Here is a 16,754-nt window from a genome sequence, read left to right as displayed (position 1 = left end):
CCATAATTTATTCATCTGTTTAAAATCATCTACTTTGTTTAACCTTCAGCATATTCCCTGAAAAGAAGAGTACATAAATTATTATTTGAGACATTAACAAATGGATTTCATTTGAAACGGTAGAATAACTAGTTGGCCAGGTCAATATATTAAGTTTTCTAAAACAGTTTAAATTTGATTAATTTTATTAACTCAAAATTACATATAAAGTATCTACATTTTCAAGATCCCTATTTTATACCATTTGTACTTTAAGAAAAATGACAGATACTAATGCATGTGAACACTCAATTTTCATATATTTCTAAAAATGTTTACAGACATCATACTTGATAAAAATCAATAGTTTGCATTAGATCCAATTTTACCATTTTAGAATTTTAAAAAATGGAAAATAGCAAACTGAATAATATGCTTCTTACATACCTGGAGCCTTAGCAGGAGGTGGTGGTTTCTTTGGTTTCTGTTAAAATAATAATGGTGGAAACGGCTGACCAGTTTCATATCAAATATAGTTAAAATAAACTCTAATTAGTAATAATCTAAATTATACAAATGTCTCTCCTCTTCATTCAATCCTTGACAAAATATAAAATGCTAAGATCGTAAAAACTACCCAAAAAGTCAATGACAACAAATTATTTCATTAGAAAAAACAGCCTCATTGGTCAAAATTCAGTCAAATATCTCAATCCATATTTCAGTGGATTGAATAAACCTTAAAAATCTTAATGAGCAAAAATGTTCTGCTCTGCCTCCCCTAGGTTAAGATTCCTAAGTACCATTTTACCCCTCTTTTGCAGCTGGGGTTGTGGGGAGAGGAAGACTGGCAGAACAAGGGAGAGACCGTTTTTTTTTTTGTTTGTTTTGTTTTGGTTTTTAAAAACAGAGTAGCAACAAATAGACTTAGTTTTCACTCTTAACTCTTTGGAACTCTCAAAGGAACAGTTAAAGGCAAAGACATGTTTTTTCTCAATTTATAAACATTCGCTCATTTTTAAGACTTAATACCTTAAAATATTGATATACACTTCTAAGTTGGTGGACTTGGTTTTTACAAATTAAGAATAATTGATAAGCCGTAATGTACAAACATAATAAAAGCAGAAAAACGTATTCTTTAGTAAAACTATAAAATAAAGCATATGAAGGCTGAATCAATACTGAATGCAATCTAACAAAACAAAGGCCTCAGACAGCCTAAGCTTCCATAGAGTTGGAGAGTTATGCATTGGCTTAAACCTAACATGGTAGCCCATCCTGTTGTGTGCTTGTGTTGATGCTCTTTCCCTCTATTCTAAAAACTCTATTATATTCCTCATCCATGGGGAAAAGGGACCAAGTTGTAGGAAGGCAAAAGACCACTGATGAATGACTCAGCCTCACTTTTTCTCTGAGAAGTGACACAAAAATAACAAATTCTGTAAGGAGGCAGAGTGCTCTTGCCCTCCCAAAAAAATGCACCAACAGCATAACAGCAATATCCACAAGACCTTAAAATAAACTAGAGCTTTTCAACAACATTAAATAAAAATACAATTTCTTCCAGGAAAGTACTAATTTATGTTATTAGGATAGACAGCCCTTCTTAAATTATAAAATAAAGAAGTCTAAGGTTATTTTTCAGTACAGTCGAGAAAGAAACAAAGGAAGAATAAAGTACGGAACTGAAACATTATTTTGTTTTACTATAACTCAAATAACTCCTACCTGAATAGCTACATCTGAAACTCCTTCATAAAAATTATTCAATAATAATGCAAAAAAACTTGTTTGCAAAAGAATAGTGGCAAAATGTTCTTTCAAGTATTATCATCATTGAAAAACAAAAGCTTACTGGAAAGTCTTTATCAAGTTCATTTATCTGGACAGCAAAATTGTCTGGAAATACTCCTTCTTTACCATTAAGTTCGCCCCTCCACCAGCCAGCTTCTCCAGTCTCCTAAAAAGCAAAATAGAATAATTAAGACAATAGACCTTTTTTTTTTTTTTAAGATAAAGTGTTGCTCTGTTGGCCAGGCTGAAGTGCAGTGATGCGATCATGACTCACTGCAGCCTCAACCTCCTGGGCTCAAGTGATCCTCCCAACTCAGCCTCCCAAGTGGCTGGGACCACAGGAATGCAATCATAAACTTCTGGGCTCAAATGATCCTCTTGATTTGGTCTCCCAAAGTGCAGGAACTACAGGCATGAGCCACTGTGCCTGGCTGGAACTAAACAGATCACACTGTCCTAAAAGAAAATATTTCCCACGTATTACTTTTAGCAGCAGTTACAAAATTGCGTTTAGTTTTAAAAACTATATCAATTTTAAAATTCCATTTATAACGTTAAAATGTTCTCAGAGGAAAAAAGAGAAAGATAAAATGAGGCCGGGTACGGTGGCTCACACCTGTAATCCCAGCATTTTAGGAGGCTGAGGTGGGTGGAACACCTGAGGTCAGAAGTTTGAGACCAGCCTGACCAACAAGGTGAAACCCCGTCTCTACTAAAAATACAAACATTAGCCAGGCATCGTGACAGGCGCCTGTAGTCCCAGCTACTCAGGAGGCTGAGACAGGAGAATTGCTTGAACTCGGGAGGCAGAGGCTGCAGTGAGCCGAGATCACACCACCACTGCACTCCAGCCTGGGTGACAGAGCGAGACTGCATCTCAAAAAAAAAAAAAAGATATAATGAAAGGAAGTGGAAAAGAGAGGAAGGTGGAGAGGGAGAATATGAATTTCTAAACTGTATCCTTCTTAACACTTTTAACACTTTATATACTAAAAATTAATCACATTATTCAGCTGCTTTAAAAATTAACACGATTTGACCAGGCACAGTGGTTCATGCTTTGTAATCCCAGTAACTTCAGAGGCTGATGTGGGAAGATTGCCTGACGCCAGGAGTTTGCAACACCAGCCTGGGCAACATAGCAAGACCCTGTCTCTACAAAAAAATTTTGAAAAAAGAATTAATCAGGCGCAATGGGATGCAACTGTAGTAGTCTCAGCTACTTAGGAGGCTGAGGCAGGAGGATCACTTGTGCCCATGAGCTCAAGGCTGCATTGAGCTATGATCACACCACTGCACGCCAGCCTGGGCGACAAAGCTAGACCTTGTCTTTAATTTTTCTTTTTCTTTTTTTTTAATTAACAAGACCTTCTAAGTTTCTTCTAAATACCCACCACCCTTGCATGAAAAATTAGGTGTAATCAGTGCAAATTATATTAATATGAAAATTCACATACATTTATAAAATTCTTGCTAAATGATTTTAGCTGCTATTGCCACTAAAACAAAAAAGGTAACTATGTGAGATGACAGATGTCAATTTGCTTCACTATAATAACCTTTTTATTACTACGTATCCTATAACATCATTATACTTTACACAATAAAACTTATTTTTAAAAAAAATTATATACACTATGACATCTTATAACAAAGTCAGTGTAAAACAATGGGGCCAGGTGTGGTAGCTCACACCTGTAATCTCGGCACTTTGGGAGGCCAAAGCGAGAGGAATGCTTGAGCTCAAGAGTTTGAGACCAGCCTGGACAACATAGCAAGACTCCATTTCTACTTAAAAAAGGTTGGGGGTGGGGGGCAGAATTTCAAAAATTATTCTACAGGGTTATAGCAAAAACAAAATATTTGTAATTTTCCCATAATACTAGTTATTATAGGATTCTGCCCACACACAAGTAGTACTGGGTTTTCTCTTTATTTTGCATTAGGATTTATTCCAAGTTATAAAATCACTTCATTCTTTAAAATGGTGACATCATTTTCCAGAGTAAAAAGAGTTTCAGAACCATTTCCATACTCATGGATGTTTAGCTTGTTTCCCTATTTTTCTTCTGTTTACATTACAAACAACACTCCAAACGACAGACAGGAGAAAAAATAGAATGAGGTGGAAGAGAAGTAAGAATAAAAACCTGGGAAGTTGAGGTTAATTTTAAAAAAAAAGTACTTAAAAAAGAACAAATATGATGGTTAACAATAATTCCCAATATGTAAATTACAACAAATATAGTCAATAAAAGTTAGCTCAAAAAGAGAACGTTCTGAGCACTTATTACGTGCCAAGTTTTCAGGACTTAGAAACAAGACAAAGTCCCAGCTCTTCTAGATTCCAGGGTGAATATAAGAACACTCTAGGGTGAATGTATAACTTTTGAAAAATATTTCTATAAATAAATTAAGCAATTCACTGAAAAACAGAAACACCTTACCTTACTTATCAAATGGATTATCTCCCCCTCTTTAAAAGTAAGTTCATCTTCATTAGTACCTTCATAGGCAAATAATGTTCTACAATATTCTTTAGCTGAAATAAAGAATGTAAATAATGTGGCTCACACAAATGGATTCATTCAACAAATACTTATTTAGCCTCTATCTTGTGTAAAGTATACTAAAAGTTATTAGAGATGAACTTAATTATCTTTAAATTTTAAAATACTTATAGTCAATACCGTATGTTAAGTAACAATTTCATTAATCCATTCATTCAAATATTTACTGTTTGTGATGTTCCAGGCACAGATTCAACTACAAGGAGATACATCCATCAACCAACAAAGTATATCAAAATCCTTGACCTCATGGTGCTTACATCTAATAGAATTTGCTATTCTAATAAGACAGTGTAACAAATGCTTCCAACAAGTCTCTTAATACATTTGAGTATGTTTCTACTATTCCCAATATGAAAGCTTTATTCAAAAACATACCTTTAATTTTACCTTCGGTATCTGTTTTTGTTATCTCCACACTCTGAGTTTTGGGTCCCAGTGACTGTAGGATTAAGGGCTAGAATAGAAAAAAATGGCATAAACTATTTTAAGATAGAATAAAGATAATACTGTTAAACAAAGTTTCCATTTACAGTTACCCAGCTTTCCCTAATGGTACTTATAGCTAGGATAGTAATGTGACTGAAAACTTAGCAATGAAACAGGTAAAGGTCTCCAAAGTTCCTTAAATCATAGCTCAGAGCTACCAATTTAAAGATTCCTTGTCTCAAAGATAATATTCTCTGACGTCCATAGTATATTAATGAGATTTAATTTTAGAATCTCTAAAATAAATAAGAGGCTAGGAACCAGTGGTTCATGTCTGAATCCCAACACTTAGGGAGGCCAAGGCAGGAGAACTGCATGAAACCAGGAGTTCAAGGTTATAAGTGAGCTATGATTGTACCACTGCATTCCAGCCTGGATGACATGGTGAGACCCTATCTCTAAAAACTACAATAAAACAAATACAATAAATAAAAACAACAGCACTTGAGAACTTAAATCCCTGGGCTAAACACTTTATATAAATAGTGCAAATAGGACTAGTAGCCTCATAACTATCTGCATTAAGTGGGCACTATTCAAACAATAATACAAATTTGTATAAGTCATCTGTCCATAGTAAAAGGAATTTAGCAGCAAAGCCCAGATTTTAACCCAGAACTAAACCTTAAAATGAAAGAGGAGAAAAAAAAACTCTTTATACTTCATTGCTATCTGAATGTAAATGATTCAGGTAATCTTATGTTCCTTATAGCTACAGTCTACTAGACATTTTTCCATTGTAATCTGTAAAGGACTAACAGATTACAACAGTAATTTAACCTTATTATTTAACAGTAATTTAACCCAGAAACAACAGTACATTTAACCTTAGATGTCATTATTTAAAAATCTGAACACACTGCTAACTTACCTACCTACTACTGTGTCTTCTGTTATCTTCTAAAATACTTACTTTAGTTTTCCCCAACTCTAAACACCATATTGTGGTGCACCTACAAACACAGCAAATGTGCTCCCTATTTTATCAATTCCTGGATCAGTGATCAAAGCAAGCCTGACCAGACCATTATATAGGGTAACCCTGAGACTACAGTCACTAATAACAACTCTTGAGTAGTAGACATTATCAAGGATGATTAAAAGATAATATAATCATTAATCAACTAAAGTTATTCAATATAATCCTAAGCTTTAGAGTTAGAAGGGGCACAAGATCATCTAGTCTAATTTCTATCACAATGCCAAGAATTGCTTGTCCAACATTCCTAGCTGTTACATGGCTATAGAGCACCACCCCAAAAACCATGAGAATTCCAAACTTTACCTTTAAAACCAAGAATCAATTTGACCCCACAATCCTAATGCCAGATAGTCTCAGAGCTAGGAATATGTAGGATAGAAAGTGGAAGTTCTCTTTCCTGAACCCAACTCTTCACTGCTACATAAGAAAATACGTAGCAAGTTAGGAAAGGAATAAAAAAAGTTGAAACCACCTATCTTAGGAGGAAACTTAATAGTATCTCAATAACCAAAACACAGTCTTTAAATGAGATGTAGCTACACGAATCAAATAAATACTGAAATACTATAATTTCTTCAGAGTTAAAGAGATAGGACTGATAGAAGGAACTGTGAAAAAATGTTCTACAGACTGTAGCTATTTTACCACCAAATTAACAGCTTAAGGTTTTATTTTAAAGCCTCTTTTTAGTTCTTATAATTTATGGCTCACTTACTTGGTTTCATTTCACAATGCCAGCAAAATGCTAATGAAATAAAATACTCCACACATTCAAAGAAGTTTAGTAAATTTAATGAATGTTGACAATCTAGAGGAAATTTAAGTAGTGCCAAAATATCAAGTAATTTAATATTTTCTAAATCCATTTTAAAAACAGTCCATTTTAGGTCTAATTCAAATTAAATATATATTTATTATATTAATTATATATATAACTAAATTTATATATAATTTTAGCTTTAAAAGGCAAAAAACCCTCTAATTTTTATTTACACTGTGCTAACTAAAAACCCTAAAGCTTCTACTAAGTGTGTTAAATTTACCAAGAAATAAGCATTCTAATTTTATTAGATTCAAACATGAATATTAATCATTGTAAATTTGGAGACAAAATTTCTCACAGCCTCCTCATTCATAACCAAATTATTAGTGATCTGAAAAAAAGAAATCTAACAGAGTTACAAACTGACTTTTACATTTTAAAAAATGCTTAATGAGAGAATGAGTGGAGTTAATCTAACAAGTCCATCATTACCACCTTTTCTGGTTTTTTCTCTTCTGTTTCACTACTGGATGTTCTTGTCCGAAGTTTCACAGAGCCTTCTTTAAAAATGTCTCCAAATCCAATTCCTCGAATTTTCTTTGGCTGTGTAACTGATCCAGATGCAGTTTCACTCACATTTCCCAGAGAAGGTATAGGTGAAGTAGGCCCAGCCAAAACAGTTTCTGAAACAATAATTTGTTTTTGAAGAATGACACCTAGAATCACAAAACGCTTGACATCCTGTCATAATGTCTACATTCTATATGCCTTCTAATAAAACACAGTAGAAAAAAAATTAAACTATTCAGTACTGAAATATCCAGAAGAGCAAGATGCAATTTATGCAATTTACACAGACTTTTTTATTGTGCAAAACGATAATAATTTTAGGTAAATTTAATTAGTAAAATTAAGAAATCCTAATTAGGAAATCATGTCATACGAGGTCCTTAAAAACAGCATGTTGTGGTGGCTCACGTCTGTAATCCCAGCACTCTGGGAGGCTGAGACTGGCAGATCACGAGGTCAGGAGATCGAGACCATTCTGGCTAACACGGTGAAACCCCGTCTCCACTAAAAATATAAAAAAATTAGCCGGGCATGGTGGCAGGTGCCTGTAGTCCCAGCTACTCGGGAGGCTAAGGCAGGAGAATGGCGTGAACCTGGGAGGTGGAGCTTGCAGTGAGCCAAGATCACGCCACTGCACTCCAGCCTGGGCGACAGGGCAAGACTCCGTCTCAAAAAAAAAAAAAAAAAAAAAACACACAGCATGTCAATTTATAGCTTTTGGCCAAAGATGATATAATGTGAGACAAACAATAAAGACATAAGATTATTTTTTAAAGCTATATGATTCAATCCAATCAAAGTTAGCATGAGTTTCTCAATATAAAACTGGGAATGTTCAAAAATGTTTATTTTAAAAAGGTCAATAGTTCATAATCTGTTATTTTAGCTCAGAGATTAGGTAACAGGTCTAATTTCAAAGCAGTCAATGGAAACTCAATTACTATATAATAATAAAAAATTTTTAAGTTTAACATTATATGGGTAACAGCGTTTTTACATTCTTGCTCAGTAACAAGGGTTCTTATTTATAGGCTCAATGAGTCCACAAACAACCCTACGGAAAACTGTGTGGTTATTTTTATGTACTTTTTTCTGGATAAAACAGGTACAGCTTTCATCAGATCCTCAAAGAGCCTTATAATCTAAGTAAGAAACAAAGTTCTAGAGTAAAAATCCAGAAACATTTAAGACCGGGGGTACGGGGTAAGGAAAAATATGTGGTAACAGTTCACTGAACTAAGGTAGTCTGTTAAAAAATAACAGTAAGAACAATAGGGACAATAAAAATAGTAGTTACCATTTATTCAGAGCTAATTCTGTACCAGGCATTTGGCTAAGCACCGCATATGAATTATCTCATTTTTATAAGCCCACATGAGCTTCTTAACATTCAGCACTATTACTCCTCATTTTACAAATAAATAAACTTGGACAAAGGGATATTAATGACTTTCCCAGGGACCTACAGGTAGTCAGTAACAAAGTCAATTTTTGAAGTGAATTCTAGATGACCCCAAAACCACAGTCTTAAACAATTTAATATAATGGCTCAGACCAGAAAAGTCTCCAATCAAACGTGAGAATCTTTTTGCATCTATCGAAATGACCATTTTACAGGTGGCTTGCCAAAACAAGTTATTAACTTAAGAAATATAATGCTAACAAGTATAGTGATCTACCCTAACCATTTTCAATATTATCCTAAGTCACACAGAAGACTGAAGTGGAGAAGACAGTTTTGTAATATATTTTTAACATTCAACTTCATTGAGAGAATGTTTACAATGAATAAAATGAACCCGTTTTAAATATGCATTTCAGTAATGTTTGACAAATGTCGCACCATGTAAATACAACAAGATACAGAACAATTCGTCACCCAGCACTTGTACACCATCGCAGTGGATCCGGGCGCAGGCATGAGTCACTGCGCCCGGCCCCTGCTTCTTGATATACCTAGTACTTATTTAAAATTTTGATGTTGTTGAATGTTAAATTTTACAGTAATCCTTTACAACAGTTATTTCCAGTCAGGGTGGATTCTGCCTTCCAAGAGACATGAGGCAATAACTGAAGACATGTTTGGTTATTACAATGGGGGAGTGTTACTGACATCTAGTTAGCAGAAATCAGGAATGCTTCTTAACATCCTGTATGTGCCAGAGAGCCCCTGAAAACAAACAATTATCCAGCCCAAAACATCTTCAGTGACAAGGTTGAGAAGTTCTACTTTAACGAGTGCTGGCAAATTTTTAATTTTTTTTTCTGGCAAGCAGGTAAGTTATTTGCACATTAGTGTGAAGCTTTTTTAGGGTAGGATTAGAGCAACCTCCATTCTAAGGCTAATTTAGCCCCACTTCGCCTCTCTACTGAATTGCCCATGTAGTCAATAAAATCTCTGAAATCTAGAGAGAAAGAACTCAATTCTTGGCCTTGTATAAGCATACCAGAAATTGCTCATATTAACCCCTAGTAATTGCTCTTTCTTCACAAGCTGCTCATGTTCAGTCTCTGGGGTTTCACTGTATGCATTCACAGACTGGTGCTCAGCTAAACCCTCAAAACAACACCCAAGAACAGTTCTGGTGCGCTCTCTACATATAGTTCTCACTTCAGGTGTTCAGCAACACAAAATTCTAACTGCCTTTGTTTCCCTGAATTTTGATCAATCCTCAACAAAACCATAGCCTTCTGCTGTGGTTAGGTCCCCTTTCCTTATAATGCAGTTCAGAAATTAGCTCCTGGCAGAAACCTAGGACAATGGTAGAGCTCTCCTTTCCCCTTGTTCTTTCCCCTTTTCTCAGGAATACCAGTCCTGTGCAGTCTACTTTTTGGAAAAATTTGCTTCCTATATTTTCTCCAGTTCTCAAGTTTGTATGGTGGAAAAGTGAATTCCATACCATCTTGCTCCTGCATTGCCAGAAGTGTATTCTATATAGTTTTAATATATACCTCCAATAACCAGCCTGTTGGACAAAGCAATATTCTGATACAGATTAGTATATTAGGTGCATATCTAAAAGGCATTTTTAAAATGAAACTATCCATGGTATTAATAAATCATATATTGATAAAGACAACTTTAAGAGATTATTCTAAAGTACAATTTTCACAGTTTGAGTATTTGATTAAGGCCATAAAACAAAAAAAAAGGCAGGGAAGGGGGTTTGGATTTAGTGACTGTAACCTTTATTAGAGTCATTAAAATATATATCATTAAAATAGATGGCTAGATATCAAAAATGTCCAGTACTAATGGATAGGCTATTTTTGGCTAAATGAAAAATACCAAATTTTACTACCACGTTTGCTATTAAATCAATGGTTGCAAGGCAGCATGGTATAGCGGTAAAGTATATGAACTCTAGGGTCGAATTTTCTTGATTCATATCTTGCCCCCTCCATTATATTTGCCCAATCTCTTTGCCTGTAAAATGGGGAACTTCACAGGATTGCTATGAGAAGTAAACTAATTTATTCCTGTGAAGTGCTTTAAACAGTGCCTGGCTCAGTGTCTATTATTTTTTTAAAACTTTAAAAGATGTATCACTGAGAACCATTAAGTGACAGAGAGAGCACTGATCACAAAGAAGCAGTAAAGTATAAAAGGGAAAACAGCCACTGGAAAGAAGAAAAGAGGATAAGGAGCAAGGAGAAAGGAAAAAGGAGGAGGAAAAAGGGCATGCAGGAGGTGCCATAATGAGACAAAACAGTAACCTTATCTATATGGTACTTCTAACACTTTAATACCCATATACTTTACCCATCTGATTGTCCTTGAATTGCTATGCTTGAAGAAAAACATCTGCATTTTATGTATGTTGCTATCAGTCATAAAACAAACAGCAAATCTGTCTATCGAGCCTAAACCCTCCCTCCTCCTTCTTCATTAAATCTCTATAGCAAAAGCTACTTGATGGCTTGTATCTTCATATAAAGTGACTTAAAAGAACTGCAAAATGCAATTACTTGTTTGGAGAAAAACGGAAACAAGAAACCACATGTGAACTGCACTGAAAGCTTAAAAAAAAAAAAGAAATCTGATGAAAATAAAAAGCATTTAATAGAATCAATCCAAGTTCACCATTAAAGTCATCTTTCACCATTATTCTCAAGGATTTTGTAAGTCGATCATGCAGGTGTGGGTGCGGGTGTTTTAACTGGACTTAAAATCAATCAATATTGCATAGTTCCTAAAAAGTACACATAGAAAGAAGGTCTGGCTGTTAGCAATAACTTAGAAAGATCCACAACGTACTACCAGTAAGGGCATCAAAACTCCAGAAAAAGTTTCCTTGCAAAGCTGCTCACCAGGAGGAGTATAAGGTGAATACTAATATATGATTACAGACCCCAAGGTAAACTGTATAATACCTTGACTCCTGGTGACTAGCCTGCAGACTAACAAATTTCTATCTACTATCTTTGGCACACGAGGTATACAACCATTTCCCCAGGATCCTGTGTCTCATCAGCAATGAGCACTTTCTTCTATTCCAGAACCTGAATAATCAAATAAAACTTCAGCTGACTCCTCCTAAGAAAATGAACTTTTTCTACCTGTAAGAGACTAGAACTCTTGAAGAACAATCCATCAGGGTTTCTTAAATGTTTTGTGTGATGCATCCATCTAGTTGCCCGGTAAAGCCTAGAGGGATAAATGGCACAAACATTTAAGAATCCCTGCTGGAACCTCTTCATCTCCTCAAAATTCTGACCTCACCACTTTGCAACTTATTCGTAACATTACTCCTTTTCTATAGAAGATATCAAAAGTCAGAAATATCTTCCTCAGCTTCCTACCATTAAGCCTACTAACTCTGATCTATCTCCAATAAATTGAGACTAATCATAATAGCCATAATGTGAAACGCATTTCCTCCACCTTCTGGATAAATTCTATTGTGCTGATAACCACCATTCTTCTGAGTTTCCATCTTCAACTGCTCTCCTACTTGTCAGCCATTAGTATGTCAAGATGATCAACACTTTTCCTTTTTAAGAAAAAGAACAAAACAAATCTTGAATATATGTTGTCATCAAATGCTGCAACTGCCTTATACTTACTCTCTACACTGCCTAACCTCCTTTCTTCTTTAATTTGGCTTCTGCCCTAATCACCTCAAAACTGCTCTTGTCTAGGTCCTTAATGATCTCTTTTACTTAACCTCCCAAGTAATATCTGACACTATTGCCCTGCCTCCCTGAATAACTCTCCTCCCTTGACTGACTACCACACTCTCATAGGTTTCTTTCTGGCTCTCTCCTTCTGTGCTTTCTTGGTCTTCTTTTCAGTTAATCTTCCTCAGTCCATTCCTTAAATGTCACTACACAGGATTCCATCCCAGGGTCTTTAGTTTTTTTCTTCACTCTGTATATTCTCCCTAGGTCATCTAATCTAAATCCATCGTTTCCTTATTTATTTATTTATTTGAGACGGAGTCTCACTCTGTCACCCAGGCTGGAGTGCAATGGCACAATCTCAGCTCCCTGCAACCTCCGCCTCCCAGGTTCAAGCGAATCTCCTGCCTCAGCCTCCCAAGTAGCTGCGATTACAGGTGCACACCACCATGCCCAGCTAATTTTTTTTGTATTTTTTAGTAGAGACGGGGTTTCAACTTGTGGGCCAGGCTGGTCTCGAACTCCTGACCTTGTGATCCACCCACCTCAGCCTCCCAAAGGGCTGGGATTACAGGCATAAGCCACCGCGCCCAGCCTACTCATCGTTTCTTATACCACCTAAAGTACTATCAAGCCCCAGTTTTGCACAGACATCCGAATTTTTCTAAGGATTCAGACCCATAGACAACTGACTACCAAATATCTTCATTTGGATGCTCTCACATCCCTACAAGCCTCAAATTTAATATCTCCAAAAGTGAATAGCCAACATGGTAGTAAAAGTTGGTAATTTTCAATGATCCAAAAATAATTAACCTACCAATTAGTACTGCCTATTTTCAATATCTAGGCATCTATTTTAACGATACATCATCATCTCCCAATATCCTATCTCTGCAAATGACATCTCCATCTTACAAAGCCAAAAACCTGGTAGCAGTTGGCTCCTCTTTTTCGGTCATCCCCCAAATAACATTATCACTAGGTCCTGTTCTTTGTGCTATCACTTATATAGATCCTATTCTACACGTGTCTCTCCATCCCCATAGCACTCCTCTAGTTTAGGCTAATTCTACCTCATTATCAAAACATTCTCAACTGGCGTCAGCAGCTCAGTCTCTTCTCCAATCTACTCCCCACATTGCAATTCACTCTCCATACTGCCACCAATTTATCTGAAAAACAATCTCATGATTTTGCTCTATGGCTTCTCTGTGATTTGATTAACACTTTTGTAATGTTTTCTTATGTCTGACCCAATAATTTCTCCAGGCTCAACATTCACATCTAATTATATACTCTATAATGCCTCTGAATTAAATCTCTTTCAGGATCTTGCAGTGCTATGCTTTTCCTCACCCTCTGCCACAAACTTGCTTAGAAATTTCCTAGCCATTTTGGGATCTCAATCTATGACTTCTTCTAGGGCACATTCCTTCACAGCTTGCCAAGTCTGGATTAGCCCACTTATATACATTTATTGCACCCTTTCCTGTAACAAATATTTCTCCTGCTAAATTACAATCACTTTTTTAAATCATCTTTTCTTTCCCAATGGAAAAAAAAGCTTCAAACAAGGGGGGTAAATCATGCCTATGTTGCTGATCACTGTATTCCCAGGACTTTGTACAATACATTAACAAAAGGCACTCAATATATTGAATGAATAAATATATGAATGCTGAATTAACTAAACAATTGTATTTATATCTAGAATTTCCCTTTGCCGGCTTTGACTTTTAAATTTCAGATTTTGGAATACCCTGCCTTCATGAGAAATGCTAGTATACGCACATATTACTACTCACAACCCTCAAAGAGCTGAACGTACATGAAAAGATAGTTCTATAAGCATACCTAAAAGAAAATTAGATGAAGATAGCAGCAAACAAATGGACTACAATAGTGAAAAACCACCAAATTTCCATACCCCATATGTTAAACAGCATAGTAAAGTTAAAAAAAAAAAAACTGGGAAATCAGAAAAACAAAACTCTAATGATTTTACCACTCAGTAGTTAAATAATCTCAGGAGTTTCCACTTCTTGACCCTTAAAATGGGAGTGACATTAATCTTCTTAAAAGCTAAGAGGATTTATTCTACTATAAAGACACATGCATGCATATGTTTACAATATTTACAGCACTATTTACAATATCGCAGTCATGGAACCAACCTAAATGCCCATCAATGATAGACTGGATAAAGAAAATGTGGTACATATACACTATGGAATACTATGCAGCCATAAAAAGGAATGAGATCATATCCTCTGCAGGGACATGGATGACGCTGGAAGCCATCATCCTCAGCAAACTAACACAGGAACAGAAAACCAAACACTGCATGTTCTCACTCATTAGTGGGAGTTGAACAATGAGAATACATGGACACAGGTAGGGAAACACACACCAGGACCTGTTGAGGGGTGAGGAGCGGGGGAAGGGAGAATTGAGAGGATGGGTCGATAGGTGCAGGAACCACCATGGCACACTTATACCTATGTAACAAACCTGCATGTTCTGCATATGTATCCCAGAACTTAAAGCAAAAACCAAAACAACAACAACAACAAAAACTCAAGAGGATTTCACTTGACAAAAGTGTTTGAAAAGTTCTACATATACCACAAAAAACTATTCACTGTTTCACTGAGCATCAACATATCAGAGACCATTCTAGACAATGAGTAAACAAATACATACATACATATATATATATGTGTATGTGTATATATATATATATATATATATTCTAATGAGCAGGTAGACAGACAATAAGCTTAATAAGCAATAGCAACAAATTCTTCTTTGAAACGTTAAAAAAAAAAGAGAAGAGAATTAAAAAGTGGATAATGGGGACTTTCTGCTGTTTTACACAGAGCTGTCAGTAAGGGCCTCACTGATAAGGTGATTTCTGAGAGAATCCTGAATCAGACAAGTAGCCATCAGGACATCTTGAAGAAGAGGATTCCAGACAAAGGTATACAACAAGCACAAAGGCTGTGAGAGAGGAATGTTCCTAACATCCTTAAGAAACCTAAGGTGACCAATGTGAACAAAGGGGAAAGTTAAATAAGAGATGAGGTAAGAAAGGTGGAGGGAGGGATATGGGGATGCCAGATCATAGAGGGATTTGTAGCCATTTTAAAAGATTTTGGCTTTTAGTCTAAGTGAAATGCAAAGCTACTGGAGGGTGATCACTACTGGCTACCAGACTATTCAGTAAGTAGGTAATGGCATATAGGCTATGGTAATTATACAGCAAAAGATAACTTATACCAGGATAGCGGCAGTGAAGGTGGTAAAAAGAAAATAGATTCTAAACATTTTTTGACAAAATCTGTTAATGAATCATGGTAGGGTGCGAGGTTAAAAAGAAGAGTACAAGAGAAATCTAAGAATTTTGGCCTGAGTAAAAGAAGGATGAATTTCTCCTTAACTCAGATGGGGAAGATTACATGGAGCAGGAAAAAAAGGCAGAGGATCAATTTTGGGCATCTTAGGTTTAAGATGCCTATTAGACATCTAAATGGAGATTCTTAAAGAGGTTTAATGTGGAAGACTTTTAGAAAAGGGTGGAAAAGACAAGTATATACAGTCACTGGTTTCATAAAATAAGGGGAAAATTTGAAAACACATTCCTATTTAGCAAATAAGTGGAATCTGCATGTTAACAAAAAGACCCTCTAAATAAGAAGGGTTAAGTATATTTGACAAAATTAAAAAGGAGACATTACAAAACCGAAACATAACACTTTCCTAGCAAAGCAATGCTTTCCCTGAGACTGAATACTAAAAGAAATTTATCTTGGACTTTTATATAGAAACCACTCAGTAACAGAATAGATGATTAATTCACCACATTCCTACAGAAAACATAATGGTGGCATTCTTAAAACTTTTATCCTACAGTTCTTCAATGAAAACTGAGGATCTAAAAATAAATTATCTGTGAAGACTCAACATTGTCCATATATTATTAAGAGTCAGAATTATCTACTTAGCAAGTAATAGAGTTTAACTGGTCAAACCAAGAACATAATCCCATTACTACATAAGAGAGGATGGAGGAAAAAGGGAAAGGGAGGAGGAGGAGAACACTATTAAATTTAAAAGACTGTGAGGAGAAACTATATGATATAATCAAATATAGTGGATATGACATTCCAATAATGAAAGCAAAAAAGAAAACACTTATATAATGTACATTCTACTATAATTTTTCTAACAGCTACGAGGAACATAATTATTTTACTGACTGAAAAGATTGTCAAAACACCAATTATGGACAGAGGCTGTTACACTTTGTTAGGACACAGGAAAATTTTAAGTAGTTACTCCTTATATAATGCTCACTTCCTGGCATTCACAACAATATGCAGAAACTTGCCTAAAATTTAGAGTTGGGGAAAGAAAAAAAAATTATAGTGTACTTCAACCACTGACTTTCCACCCCATAATCACAAAGCTCCACATTTAG

At 35.5% G+C, this 16,754-nt stretch overlaps 1 protein-coding gene across 4 annotated transcripts in view; it reads right to left on the bottom strand.

The window, feature by feature from the left end:
- The window catches only part of CD2AP (CD2 associated protein), a 149,475-nt gene that overhangs the window by 45,937 nt on the left and 86,784 nt on the right, over positions 1-16,754 (bottom strand). For 3 of the 4 annotated variants that reach the window (NM_012120.3, XM_017010641.2, XM_011514449.3), the window contains 5 exons: positions 7,076-7,263; positions 4,725-4,803; positions 4,224-4,318; positions 1,838-1,942; positions 427-463 (listed from right to left, as the gene is read on the bottom strand). In NM_012120.3, the coding sequence (NP_036252.1) occupies positions 427-463; positions 1,838-1,942; positions 4,224-4,318; positions 4,725-4,803; positions 7,076-7,263 (504 nt within the window). The remainder of the gene's footprint in view (positions 1-426; positions 464-1,837; positions 1,943-4,223; positions 4,319-4,724; positions 4,804-7,075; positions 7,264-16,754) is intronic. The other variant, XM_005248976.2, reaches the window with a different exon arrangement.

Source organism: Homo sapiens, chromosome 6 (genome assembly GCF_000001405.40).
Source record: "Homo sapiens chromosome 6, GRCh38.p14 Primary Assembly".
Classification (NCBI taxonomy): domain Eukaryota; kingdom Metazoa; phylum Chordata; class Mammalia; order Primates; family Hominidae; genus Homo; species Homo sapiens.
This window is presented reverse-complemented; position numbering and strand designations above follow the sequence as displayed.